We start from the raw sequence: 13,747 nt of genomic DNA on the forward strand, positions 1-13,747 counted from the left end.
AAAGTGCAAATAACTGGTTAAGCAAATAAATGCTTAACAGCTTTGAGATGCCTTATGAAATGTTTTCTACTTCATATTCCTCAGAATTTCTAAAGCAATGAATATTTCAGTTGGGATAACATTTATGCATGGCAATATCAGCCTATCATCATTTTAATTTTTTTTTAAACAGCCCTGCTGGTGATTTCTCTCGGTTTAAAAATAGCTGAAAAGTCAAATCTATTGTACATTTGGCTTCCTCGTGCCATTTGGCAGCCCTGCTGTCAGCTCACAGTACCTTTCAGGTGTCACATCAACCACCCCAGCAACCCACATCATTCCTCTGGCTGGGAACGTTGAGGGTTTCCTAGCAGAGCAGAAGAAAGACTTAGGATGTGGGGTCAGACATGCGTGCCTTGGTGTTTCGGTCTGTAGAAGGGGGACAATGCCTACCTCACAAGGGTACCAGTAGCATAAAGCAGATAAGTGAAAAGTGCCCAGTTTAATCTCTAACTAAGGAAGGCTGCATATATGGCAGTTCCCTCAGCCACGCCCCCTTCCACCCAGTGGCACCGGACCCCTGGTAATGCTCCCTTACCTTCTGCTCAAGGTGTGCTCTGCGCAGAGACACTCTCTGCTCTAGCTTCTGGAGCTCACGTTCATGTTGTGCCTCTGTTTGCATCTTGATTTTGCTCTGGTAGGCGTTGAGCAGCTCCATTTCCTGCTGGAGCTGTAGCCTCAAGGCCTGGCATTCTGCTTCTTGAGCCTCATCTAGCCGTAACTGCGGACACAGAAGACACACACGGTCATGCACCCTTGCCTACAGCCCTTGGTGGCCTACAGCCCTTGGTGACTACTGGAAGAGGTTTCCTCATTTGGATTGAAATTGGTTGCCCCCTCAAAAACACAGATGCTCTGGGTACATTCAGAGTTGGGAATCAAAAACAGTCAAGTCTGCCCAATGGGCTACAATACCAAACACATTCTTTTCAGTATGATCTGAAACCACAGCAGCAGGCGTCAGGAAGGCTACACCTGTGGGCTTTGGAGGTAGGCTCCTGGGCTTGAATTACAGCTACACCATCCACTTTGTGTGTGTCACACCTTGGCACATTACCTACCTCTCTAGATCTCATGTGTTTCATTCTCAAGAAAATAACAAGAATAGTTCCTATTGCCTGAGATTGGTGGGAGGATTAAATGAAAGAATTAATATAAAATCCTAGGCACAGTTCTCAATGCATTACAAGTTTTCAATAAATAGTAGTGGTTATCATTATTTCGGTTTCAACTGATCATGTCCTTATTTCAAGTTCTTTAACCCTAAAATCATTTAGATATGCTTAGCTCTAAAAAATTGATTCCAATTTCCATAAAACTTGAGGAATATACCACAGTACTGTTATGCTCCAAGTAGTAATGTTGGCACCTATTGTTGGCTATAAAAGTTACATTGCTAGCCAGCCAATCCAAAACTCCAAATGGTTCAAAATCTCTTCCCTGGCTGGTGGCTCACCTCTGTTATCTCAGCGCTTTGGGAGGCCAGGGTGTGAGGATTGCTTGAGGCCTGGCATTCAATACTAGCTTGGGAAATATTGTGAGACCCCCATCTATACAAAGATTTTTTAAAAAATTAGCCAGGCATGGTGGCATGTGCCTGTAGTCCCAGCTACTTTGGGAGGCTGAGGCAGAAGAATCTCTTGAACCCAGGAGTTCGAGGCTGCAGTGGGCTATGATCACACCAATGCACTCCAGCTTGGCAGACAGAGACTTTGTCTCATAAAAAAAAAATCTCTTCCTCTCAGAGGGTAGGTAGGCTTGACAATTTTAAGAGGCATAACTGCTTTGAAGCAGTGCCTGAACTTTGTCTTATACAAGATACCCAGATCCTGCGTGGAGAATGAACCAAGTAGAAGCGCCAACTTCTCAAAGCAGAGTAGAAGGTTTCGGACCATCAGCAGGACAGTGTTTAGGAATGATGACCCTGGGTTGCAGGCTTGGTTTGGTCCAATTTTGGCAGGCCCACAGTTTGGCTGAGAACTATGAGATTAGAACCCTTGAATCAGTCCATTTACCCTGAGCTTATCTGTGTTTCCTTATTGACCACTTTTCCAAGATACTTATTCTCCACCTTATGTACAATTTGTGACAATATACATATCTTGATTGAAAAATTACTTTTTGAAATGTTATATTAAAATAGTTTTAGTTATTTGCATGTATCTTCTTTTAGTACTTCTGGAGAAACATACTATAGAGATTAAAGGAACAAAATAAATTACATAATCATATTTCCAAGGTACCTTCTAAAAATTAATCCTAACCAGGTTTCATTAAAACCCTTAAAGAGGACAGACAGTTCTCATTTTCCCAGTAAGGAATGAAGGGATAAGAGACACTAGACACAATACATAGTCTTTGGCAGGAACAGACTCACAGGTAAATGCCAAAGGATTTACTGGCTCCCAATGAGGGTTGTTACTGATTCCCTCTTGATATGGGAGGTTCCTTATCAGTAAAGGCAGTGAAAGTCCTGTTCTTTTCTACTTGTCTGCATTAGTTGCTGTAAGCCCCAGCTAAGTGGGTGAGAGGTTCATTCTATGGTCAATTTAGACCATCTAAACATCTAAATATCTTTAAACATTTAGAACATCTCCATTTCCTTTTGTTTCTGGCACGCTATTATTATTAGCAGTAACTGGTACCATTGTTCTGTACCAGCTCTGACTGATGGCCCAGTGCTAGAAATCAGAGGATATTCCAGCATTTAGTTTTTATCACCCAAGGTTACACACATCAAATCCATTAAAAAGTTGTTTTTTCGTGGTTTTTGAGACAGTCTCACTCAGTTGCCCAGGCTGAGTGCAGTGATGTGATCTCAGCTCACTGCAACCTCCTTCTCCCAGGTTCAAGTGATTCTCCTGCCTCATCCTCCCGAGTAGCTGAGATTACAGGTAAGTGCCACCAGGCCCAGCTAATTTTTTGTATTTTTAATAGAGATGGCATTTCACCATGTTGGCCAGGCTGGTCTCAAACTCCTGAACTCAGGTGATCCGCCTGCCTTGGCCTCCCAAAATACTGGGATTATAGGTGTGAGCCACCGTGCCCAGCTCCATTAAAAAGTTTTATAAGAGTATAGGTAAATATGTCTGATCTTTACAGTGGCTTACACTGAAGATACGATAAGAGGCAACATAATGTAGAAGCAGCCAAGCATACAGGCGCACAGGATTCCCCCCAAGATGGGTTCAAATCCTAGCTCTACCACTAATTAGCTATGTGACCTTCCCCCTTATCCCCCCAAGCCAGTGGTTGGCACACTACAGCCCATGGGCCAAATCTAGCCTGGTGCCTGGTTTTGTAAATATATATATATATTTTTTTTTGAGATGGAGTCTCACTCTGTCACCAGGCTAGAGTGCTGTGGTGTGATCTCAGCTCACTGCAACCTCCGACTCCCTGGTTGAAGCGATTCTCCTGCCTCAGCCTCCTGAGTAGCTGGGATTACAGGCACGTGCCACCATGCCTAGCTAATTTTTGTATTTTTAGCAGAGATGAGGTTTCACCAGGTTGGCCAGGCTGGTCTCGAACTCCTGACCTCCGGTGATCCACCCGCCTCAGCCTCCCAAATTGCTGGGATTACAGGCATGAGCCGCTTCGCCCAGCCATAAATAAAGTTTTATTGGACATTGATAATACTCATTAATTTATGTTTTGTCTATGGCTGCATTTGTGCTACAATGGCAAAGCTGAGTAGCTGTGACAGAGACCCTGTGGTCCACAAAGCTAATTACTATCTGTCCCTTTACAGACAAAGTTTGCCAACTCCTGTCCTAAGAAAGTAGCTTTACTTCAGTGAACTTCAGTTTCCTCACAGGTAAATTAGGGTCAAAACAGTAACTACTTCAAAGGGGTTTCACAAAAATGAAATGAGGTAACACTTATGAGATGTTTAACATTGATTGTACTTGCCACATGGTAAGTAGTCAGTAAAGGATGCTGTAATGATCACACACTTATCTTCTCCCTGTCTCAGAAGAAAGGGCATTTCTCTCCTTTTATTCAAGGGTAATCATTGACCTGTATTTCTGATCCTGTTCTCTCTCATCTTATTTATTTTTTTTAAGAGTCCCAGTCTTGTTCTGTTGCTCAGGCTGGAGTGCAGTGGTGTGATCATAGCTCACTGCAGCCTTGAACTCCTGGGCTTGAGTGATCCTCCTGCTTCAGCCTCCCAAGTTACTGGGACTACAGGCATGTGCCACCATGCCTGGCTAATTTTTGTATTTTTTGTAAAGACAGGGTCTTGCTATGTTGCCTAGGCTGGCCAAGAATTCTTGGCCTCAAGTGACCCTTCCCACAAAGTGCTGGGATTACAGGCGTGAGCCACCGCGCCTGGTCTCTCCCATTTTATATAACAAACATTCATTGAACGCTTGTTGTATGCCACACATTGTTGCAGAGGCTGAGCATATAAAGATTAACAAGACAAAAACCCTATCAACCTCCATGTGTCTATCAACTTCTTCCTTCTCTTTGCCTTTCATCTCCCTCTGCAAACCTTTCCTCGCACTCATTCTGATCCTAACCCTCTACTTCTACCGCTCACATTAAGGTGACCCATGATAGCCTGGAAGTGGCCTGTTACCTGACCTTCCAGCAGCATTTGGTATTGCTGACTGCCCCTTCCTTCTTGAAATCTTTGTCTTCTGAGATACCACAACTTCTTGGTTTTTGTCTTCCCTCTCTGACTATTCCCTTTCCAGTAGTCCTTACCTACCTGGTCCTTAAATGTGGGTGTTCTTAAGGGCTTTGTCCTGGGCCCTCTTCTTCCTCTAACCGCTCTTCCTAAGAATCTCATCTATTTCAAAAGCCTCAATTACCATCTACATATGTACAAATGACTCCCACACTAAACCTCTATTTCAGACTTTCCTTCTGAGGTCCAGACGAGCTCCTGTAGTCTACCAGAGACATCCTCCTCTGGATGTTTCCCAGGCTCTCAGGCTCCCCGCAGCCAATACATCACCTTTTCCTTCCCACACCCCAATCTGTTCCACTTCCTTTTTTACCATATAGGTAAATACAGGTAGACCATCATCTACTGCTTTATTTTTGTTTTTTTTTTAGATGGAGTCTCACTCTGTCACCCAGGCTGGAGTGCAGTGGCGTGATCTCGGCTCACTGCAACCTCTGCTGCCTCCTGGGTCCAAGCGATTCTCCCGCCTCAGTCTCCCAAGTAGCTGGGATTACACAAGTGTGTGCCACCAAGCCCAACTGATTTTTGTATTTTTAGTAGAGACAGGGTTTTACCACACTGGCCAGGCTGGTCTCGAACTCCTGACCTCAGGTGATCTGCCTGCCTCGGCCTCCCAAAGTGCTAGGATTACAGGCATGAGCCACCATGCCTGGCCCATCATCTACTGTTTTGTTCAAACCAGAGACTGGAAGTCATCCTGAACACTGGACTCTCCACATCCAACCTGTCATTAAGTACTCTCAATTCTACCTCCCACCAAATTTAGTAACTTCCCCCTTCATCCCGACTGCCCCTTTTCTAGTCTGGCTACCACTCCCTCATACCCCAGGTAAAAGTCACTTCACAAATCATCTCCTAATATCCATTCTTCCCATCTCCCAGGCCATTCTCCATGTCACCAGAGTGATGGTTCAAAAACACAAATCTGATGTCACACCCTGCTTAATACCCTCCAGTGGCTTTTCATTGTTTCGGATAAAGACAAAAATTCTTAACAAAGCCTGAAAGCCCCTACGTGACCCAGCCTGTTTACCCCTCCAGTCTTGTTCTCATGTTAGTCCTCTCCTAGTTCCCTACATCCCAAACATAATAGATTTCTGTGAATTCTTCCAAAGTGCCACTGCCTTCCCAATGTTCACACGTTCCTCATGTGTAGGTTCCTCAGCCTACATAGCCATTGTGCCAGGGAGGCCTCTCCTGACTCTCCAGACCAGGTGAGCTCTCCTGCTTTGCAGTCTGTTGGCACCTTGCTCTTGCTCTGACATTACACGGAGTAGACTTTTCCAATGTCTGTTTCCTCCATGCTTCCATAAACTCCATAAAGACGTGATTCATGACTGTCTTATCCACCACTGTATCTCCAGATGCCTGGTACATCACGTAGGCACTCAATGAATACTTGCTGGATGGATGAATAGATGAATGCACTAGCTCCCATCCTCGGCCTAAGAACATGCATGCTTAAGCATCTCCCAACTAACAGAAGTCTTTCTTCAACTCTCTCTCCTTTTGCTAAAGCTCTTGTTCTCTTTTCCTTCATTGATGAGGATCTGGGAAAAGCAGTCTCACTTACCATCTGGATTTCACTTTATAATCCCTCATTCAATGCTCTATAATGTCTCCCAGTCCCACCACTCCACTGATTGTCCGAGACAAGCAATGGACGAATCCAGTGCTAGGTCCAATGAACACCTCAAAGTTTATTCTTCTAATTGATCTCTGCAACATGTGACGCTGTCAGTTAGAAACTCCTGCTCTGGCTCCTGTGACATGCTCTCTTCGGGTTCCCTTCCTGTGTCTCTGATTATTCACTTTTGTTCTACTTCTACCTCAGCCCTCAAATGTTGATGTCTACCAGACTCTGTCCTTAGTTCTTTCCTCTCTAAGAATACCTCCCGTCCCCAGCAGATCTCATCCATTCCTACCAGCCACAAGTGCACACATATAACAATGAAGTCTAGCTTTCTGCCTTTAATCTTGACATCCCTCCTAAACTGCAGGTTTCCATTATCTGTACCTCTCTACCTGGTCACCCACAAAACGCAGACACCAGGTCTACAACTTAGTCAATTATCCTTGCAGGCATCCAAACTCACTCTTTTATTGTTCTAGCTTGGTAAGATAATGACCTATTCTACTCTGTTGTCAAACCTCTCAAATTGGTCACTAAGTTATTTCTATTCTTGCCTCCTAAATATTTCTTAAAACCTTCCCCACTCCTCTCCATCTCCATTAGCATGTTCTCTCATCACCTTTTTCCTGAACTATTATAATGGCTTCCTAACAGGTCTCTTTACCTATATTTGCCACATTTCTGCTAATATCTTTCTGTAACACAAATCTGATCCAGTTATGCTTTCCTTCTTAAAACACGGTTCAACAGCTCTCCATTGCTTACAAAATAACATTCAAACTCCTGGCTTCTGAGGCTCTGACCCTGACTATCCTCCCGCTTTCCCTCAACAAGCATCCTATACTCTTGCCATAGCAATTACTCATTGTTTCTCAAATGTGCCATCCTCTTTCACGTCTCTAAGTCTTTGCATATACTGTATCCTCTGTCAGGAACAACTTTTTCTTTTATGCCTATTTGGTAAACTATTACTCTTTAAGACTCATCTCCTTGGGAAAGCTTCACCGAATTACCAGGCAAGCTCCCATCCCAAGCTCCCTTTATGACCTCTCCATTCTGGGTTCCTGCAATCTTCCTCCTTGAACTTTGGGCTCACACCAAAGTTCTTTCTGTCTCCATATATTTTCCTCTGTTTGAACCTTTGCCTATGTAGGTCCCAGTTTCAAGGAATCGGTTTATGTCAATGAATTCCTTAAAGTTTCTTGGCTCCCTCTAGGAAGATTTCCCTAGACGAGCTTAGTTAGTCCTACTTGTTCTCCCCTAACCCCCAGTACCTCCCATTTCAAATCACTCACTTTTTTTTTTTTTTTTGAGACAGAGTCTTGCTCTGTCACCCAGGCTGGAGTGCAGTGATGTGATCTCAGCTCACTGCAACCTCCACCTCCCGGGTTCAAGTGATTCTCCTGCCTCAGCCTCCTGAGTAGCTGGGACTACAGGTGCCTGCCCAGCTAATTTTTGTACTTTTGGTAGAGATGGGGTTTCACCATGTTGGTCAGCCTGGTTTCGAACTCCTGACCTTGTGATCCACCTGCCTCGGCCTCCCAAAATGCTGGGATTACAGGCGTGAGCCACCGCGCCCGGCCCCACTTACCATGTTTTACTATTACTGCTTAATTATCTGACCACCTGGCTTGACTGACAAATTGTCTGTCTAGCTCATCCTCCACCTCTGAGTCCAGCAGAGTGCTGAACACTGATGCTTAATAAAAGTTTATTGCATGAGTGTGTCTGTGTATCTGTCTTCCTCACTTGACTGTGGGCTCCCTAAGGGCAGGGACTCTTATTCATTTGTGCCTGATATTAGTTGCGGGGAGGGCAGTCAGTAAAATCTTTCATAAATGAACACATGGTATCATATGTGGTATCTATCACATTTGCCCTCAAAGTCCCTATGTGCCACAGGTCTGATGTGGCATGTCACTCCTTGAGTTCCATCTTATAAGACACTCCAGCAAGTATCCACATTGGCTTGGCTTTATTCAACGTCGTCCTTTCCTCAGTCCTTTGGGCAGAAAAACATCAATATCCTAAATTTGTGCAAGAATCATCTTGGGAACAACAGGCTGGATCTTGGATTTTCTTGATTCCCAAAGCTCTCGAAGCCGTGGCACCAAACCTAACCACTTACCGCTTGAGAGGCCATCATTTCATTTATACTCTGTTCATACTGCTCTGCCAAAATGGCAAGTTTTCTTGTCTGCTCATCTTTCAGTGTCTTTAAGATTGTTTTGTGCTCATTCTTTGGAGTAACTTCCAACTGGTGATTCTTGAGTGCTTTATACTGTTTGGTCTGTACTTTGCAAGTGTCCTGAAACTGTTTTTTAATTTGCATTTCCATGGCCTGGGTAGAAAAAGTGACAAAGGAAAAATAAAGGCACATCAGTAAATACAGAAAGCCTTCTACCATAATGATATAATACAAGTGCTGAGAGCGTCTGTTTTTTGGTGCAGTGACTCACATTGCTAATCAATAAAAATCAAGCAGTATGTATGACACAGACAAAAGTTAACTCTACCTGTACTTTTGGTTTTATATTGAATGACTATAAGTAATTTTGAATTTACAAATGGGGTCAAAGAAAATATGGACTGTTACAAGGGGATGACAACTCTAAGCAGATTGAGCGATACTATGAAGCTTAGCTTGTTGAAAGAGTGGCAACTCTTTTCATGCTTTCCTAGTCAGACACTTCAGTGTCTTCCATTGTTCATTGTTTTTCCCCCCTTTTTTTTTGTTTCTGTGTTTCACCCTGTTTTCAAGTGAGACAGGGGATAGCATTATATAAGCCAGCTCTCACTGCTCTGGTTTATAGCAATTTCTTATCAACTCCATAAAGGAGAGTATATGGATGGTACCTTATATCCTAACGCATTTCTACTGGATTTCAGCGTAAACTGAGAGAGAAAAGTGATTTAGAATTTTTTTCCCCATTAAGAGGTTGTGCTTGCATGTAGCAATATAAAATATGCATTTGGGCAAAGAGAAGGTAGAGTATATTATTTTGAGCCCAGAAGGCATTCCATCAGGTTGCCCCACAGTCATGTGTGCACTTCACGAACACTCTGAGGACTTATGGTGATAGAAATCATTGCTTAGCTTAGAATTTGACTGAAGAGACGCATAGCCAGTGTGATCCAGGTTGGCCTCATATCTGTGGCAACACTGACAACGTCCTCCCGGATATATAGCAATGGCTTAGTACACAGAGCTTGTTAATTAGCAGTCAGCTAAAATTAGCTGGAGGCAGTGAGGGCTACAGGAGTTCCTCCACATCTCTGCATCTCTAGTGCAGAAGTGGTAAATGCCTGGCACTTATAGATTCATTCCTGATGACCATGACAGACATCACTAATAAATGACACTCTTTCCTCCTAAGCTTGGATGTGGCTTTAGAGTCTTTCTCAATACAGCAGTGCTCAAAGTACCTAACACCAATAGAACTTCCTTATTTCCTGGGATTAAAACCATAAACTGCTATTAGTCCAGTTTTGAAGATGGCAGGTCATGAAGTGCTCAGAGAAATTCCATAATGGATATGATGACAAATTGATAGATAATGTAGTATAATAATAGTTTCCAAACCAGCTTGCCCAACATCTCCTTTTCAGGAGCTTAAATATAGACTCTGTGCTTTGCAACTGGAGATTCTGATACAATAGGTGTGGGGTGCAGAAATTTGTGATTCTGAAAAGTTGCTCAGGTGACTCTGACACTTCAGGTAGAGAAACCACTGATCTGGTCCAACACTGTCCAGCAGCACAAATCTTACCTTTAAGTTTTTTGGCTGTTGCCGAAGTTCCATGACATGCTTTCTGTGCAGTTCTCTTTCTCGCCTCTTATTGTACTCCAGCTGGTTTTCCAGTTCCGTCTGGTGCTGTAAACGGATCAGATCCATGCGTAGCTTCTGTAACGTGTGCAGCTGCCTGTACTCTAGCTCTCGGGTGGACTCGTCGTGCCGGATTAGCATGGCATGCTCCATCTCCTTCTGGGTCCTCTTTTTATTTAGTTCCTGCGTCCAGGAACAAAAGATAAACGGAGAGAGGTGAATGGAGATGAACTGGAAGGAATGCACAACTAAGTGAGGGAGGGCAAGGAATGGCACTGCTAACCATCTCTTAATTAAACCCATTAGTGTTTGGCAGCAGGACTTAATGAGATTAAATTAACAATCTCTTCAGGTTTAGGTTCTGTTCCTGGGTCCACCACTTACAAAATGGGCAACTTCACAGCAATCACTACTGTACTCTCTGTAAAATGGGATTAATTCTACCTGACTCTCTCTTACCTCACAGAGCTGCTGTGAACCTTAGTTAGGTGATGTGCTATGCATAGGTCTACATAAATGTTTCTTCAGTGAAGCTAGTGGTCCTACACCCTGACGGCCCATAAAAATCATGTGAGGAAACTTTTCAAACATAAGATGCTTGAATCTCACAGGGTGAAATTCTTATAACTGTCTGGGGTGGGAGCCTGATGTCAGTATTGGGAAGAGTTCTCCAGGTGGTGCCAATAAGCAATCAAGATTGAGAATTAAACTGATAATATCTGCAATGTTCTTAGCTTTCTGGGAAATACTCTGTTTTTGCATGAATCAGAGGTAGGCCAATTGTCTATTTTTTAAAATCTCAGAGTTCAAGGCATGTTGGGGAAAAAAAAACAGATGAGATCTCTCCCCTTTCATCTTCTGCATTACAGTCTGTTTGATCATTTATAGATCTAATCACTCTGTTCTTTTCCGTTCTACTCATGTCTTTCTTTCTTCCTTTTCTTTCTTTCTTTCTTTGGTATTGAAGGAGGAAAGGAAAGCAAACTAGAAAAAAGGGGAAGTTGGGTGAAATCTTTTCATTCCTCAATTGAAGAATATTTCCTAAATAGCACTATATATGAAGATCAGAACAATGTGCTCTCAGTACATAAAAATATTTATTAAACCATGACTTCTGTCCTCAACTCACTGACACTCCAACAGGGAAGTGCACTAGACATTTATTGAAGTATATGCTCTGCTCAAAGCTCACTGAATCAGATTTAGATACGTGGCCCAACCTGGGTCAATTTATTTTCTCTACTCGGAATTTGGAATTGATATTCAGAACCAGTTAATCTCTATGTGTGGCTGGAATTAAGGCATATAAAAACCACATATGTGGTAGTCATCTGCTGCTATGAGGGCTGAGGATTAGAGAAAGCTGGGCTTCAGATCAAGAAGAAAGGAAAAGAAAGAAGTGCAGGGAATATACTGATGCCTAAGTTACTTACTGCTTCTGAGCCCTCCAGTAGGTCTAGCTGTATTACTGCTATTCGATTTTATAAGACATTCCTGTATTTCTATAGTAATTTCCCTGGTTTTGGCTTAAGCTAGCTGAAATAAATTTCAGTTAACATGCAAACAAAAAAATCTTAATTAATACAGGGACATACTTTTTTTTTGGGGGGGGTGGGGGTAGAGATGGGGTCTCACTATGTTGCCCAGGTTGGTCTCGGACTCCTGGACTCAAGTGATCCTCCCATCTCAACCTCCCAAAATGCTGTGATTATAGGCATGAGCCACCCCACCATGCCCAGCCAGGAAATAAGTTTTACGTCCAAATTAAAAAAAAAAAAAGAGAGAGAGCAATGTTGGATAAGTGATGAATGCTATAAAAGGGGTAAAGATTTTATGCTATAAGATTTCTGAAAAGGGTGGTATTATTATTACTATTATTTTGAGACAGAGTATTGCTCTTGTTGCCCAGTGCAATGGAGTGCAATGGTGTGACTTCGGCTCACAGCAACCTCCGCCTCCCAGGTTCAAGCAATTCTCCTGCCTCAACCTCCAGAGTAGCTTGGACTACAGGCACATGCCACCACGCCTGGCTAACTTTTGTATTTTTAGTAGAGATGGAGTTTCTCCATGTTGGTCAGGCTGGTCTCGAACTCCCGATCTCAGGTGATCTGCCCGCCTTGGCCTCTCAAAGTGGTAGGATTACAGGCGTGAGCCACCGTGCCCGACCTAGCAGTATTACTATTAAGAAGGTCAAGGAGCCTGGGGCGGTGGCTCACGCCTGCAATCCCAGCACTTTGGGAGGCCGAGGCGGGTGGATCACGAGGTCAGGAGATCGAGACCATCCTGGCTAACATGGTGAAACCCCGTCTCCACTTAAAAATACAAAAAAAAAATTAGCCGGGCCTGGTGGCGGGCACCTGTAGTCCCAGCTACTCGGAAGGCTGAGGCAGGAGAATGGCGTGAACCCGGGAGGCGTAGCTTGCAGGGAGCCAAGATCGCGCCACTGCACTCCAGCCTGGGGGACAGAGCGAGACTCCGTCTCAAAAAAAACAGAAAAACAACAACGAAACAAACAAACAAACAAAAGAACGTCAAGGAAAGGAGAAAGCTTTTGAGCTGTACTTTATTTATACTTATTTATTAAATTTTTGAGACGGAGTTTCTACTTTGTTGCCCAGGCTGGAGTGCAATGGTGCGATCTTGGCTTGCTGCAACCTCCGCCTCCAGGGTTCAAGCAATTCTCCCGCCTCAGCCTCCCGAGTAGCTGGGATTACAGGTGCCCACCACCACGCCTGGCTAATTTTTGTATTTTTAGTATAGATGGGGTTTCACCATGTTGGCCAGGCTGTTCTCAAACTCCTGACCGCAGGTGATCCACCCGCCTCGGCCTTTCAAAGTGCTGGGACTACAGGCGTGAGCCACCATGCCCCAGCCTCAGCTGTACTTTAAATTAGAACAATAGAGGGCCTCTCTTCTCTGATGGCATCCACTATAGGAGAAAATGCAAATTATTTATTTTAATAGATATCATCGATAACATTTTTATACTGGCGTGGTTGGAAATATCTTGCACACTTGGGCTCCCTATTGATTGAAGAGAAATCCTTTTAATAGCACAGCATCTAGTACTAGAGTACAGTCACTAATCATTCACTTATTCATTCAACAAGTAGTTATTGAGCACCTACTATGTGCTGGGCACTGTTGTAGGAACTAGGGATAGAACAGTGAACATGTACACCCCCTCAGCGACCTTATAAGGAGAAAAAACCCAAAGTATAAATACAATTTAAATTTGTTTTAAGGAATAAAAAATAAGCCCTTAGAGTTATCTCTCTCATCTCCTCCCGTGTTTTCCTTTGTTTTATTTTTCTTCTTTACCTAGACCATCAAATTTCTTTTTTACAAAGCAGTAACTGGCCCGTAGGTGGCACCAAAGGATGGAGAGCCCTTCCCACAGACGAAAGCTCTCCCAGGCCAAGGAAAGCCCTTTAAATGAGGACTTTAATTGAGGTCCAGGAGTCCCAACACCAGGCATTTATTCATCCCACACTTTCCTAAATTGAGAAATGCAAACTGAGCCTGAGTTGCTAAGAGCCCTGAAACTCATGG

General features: G+C 43.5%; 1 protein-coding gene across 12 annotated transcripts in view, besides 1 other annotated feature; it reads right to left on the reverse strand.

Moving 5' to 3' along the window:
- TAOK3 (TAO kinase 3) overlaps nucleotides 1–13,747 on the reverse strand; it is a 223,107-nt gene that overhangs the window by 1,849 nt on the left and 207,511 nt on the right. For all 12 annotated transcript variants that reach the window (NM_016281.4, NM_001346487.2, NM_001346493.2 and 9 more), the window contains 3 exons: nucleotides 10,139–10,378; nucleotides 8,497–8,709; nucleotides 578–760 (listed from right to left, as the gene is read on the reverse strand). In NM_016281.4, the coding sequence (NP_057365.3) occupies nucleotides 578–760; nucleotides 8,497–8,709; nucleotides 10,139–10,378 (636 nt within the window). The remainder of the gene's footprint in view (nucleotides 1–577; nucleotides 761–8,496; nucleotides 8,710–10,138; nucleotides 10,379–13,747) is intronic.
- Nucleotides 2,301–2,501: a silencer, noted in NCBI's record as "peak1994 fragment used in MPRA reporter construct". NCBI's record gives its function as "represses an SCP1 promoter by STARR-seq MPRAs in K562 erythroleukemia cells {active_cell/tissue: K562}" and the evidence as "EXISTENCE:reporter gene assay evidence [ECO:0000049][PMID:32103011]".

This window comes from Homo sapiens, chromosome 12, assembly GCF_000001405.40.
Source record: "Homo sapiens chromosome 12, GRCh38.p14 Primary Assembly".
NCBI lineage: Eukaryota > Metazoa > Chordata > Mammalia > Primates > Hominidae > Homo > Homo sapiens.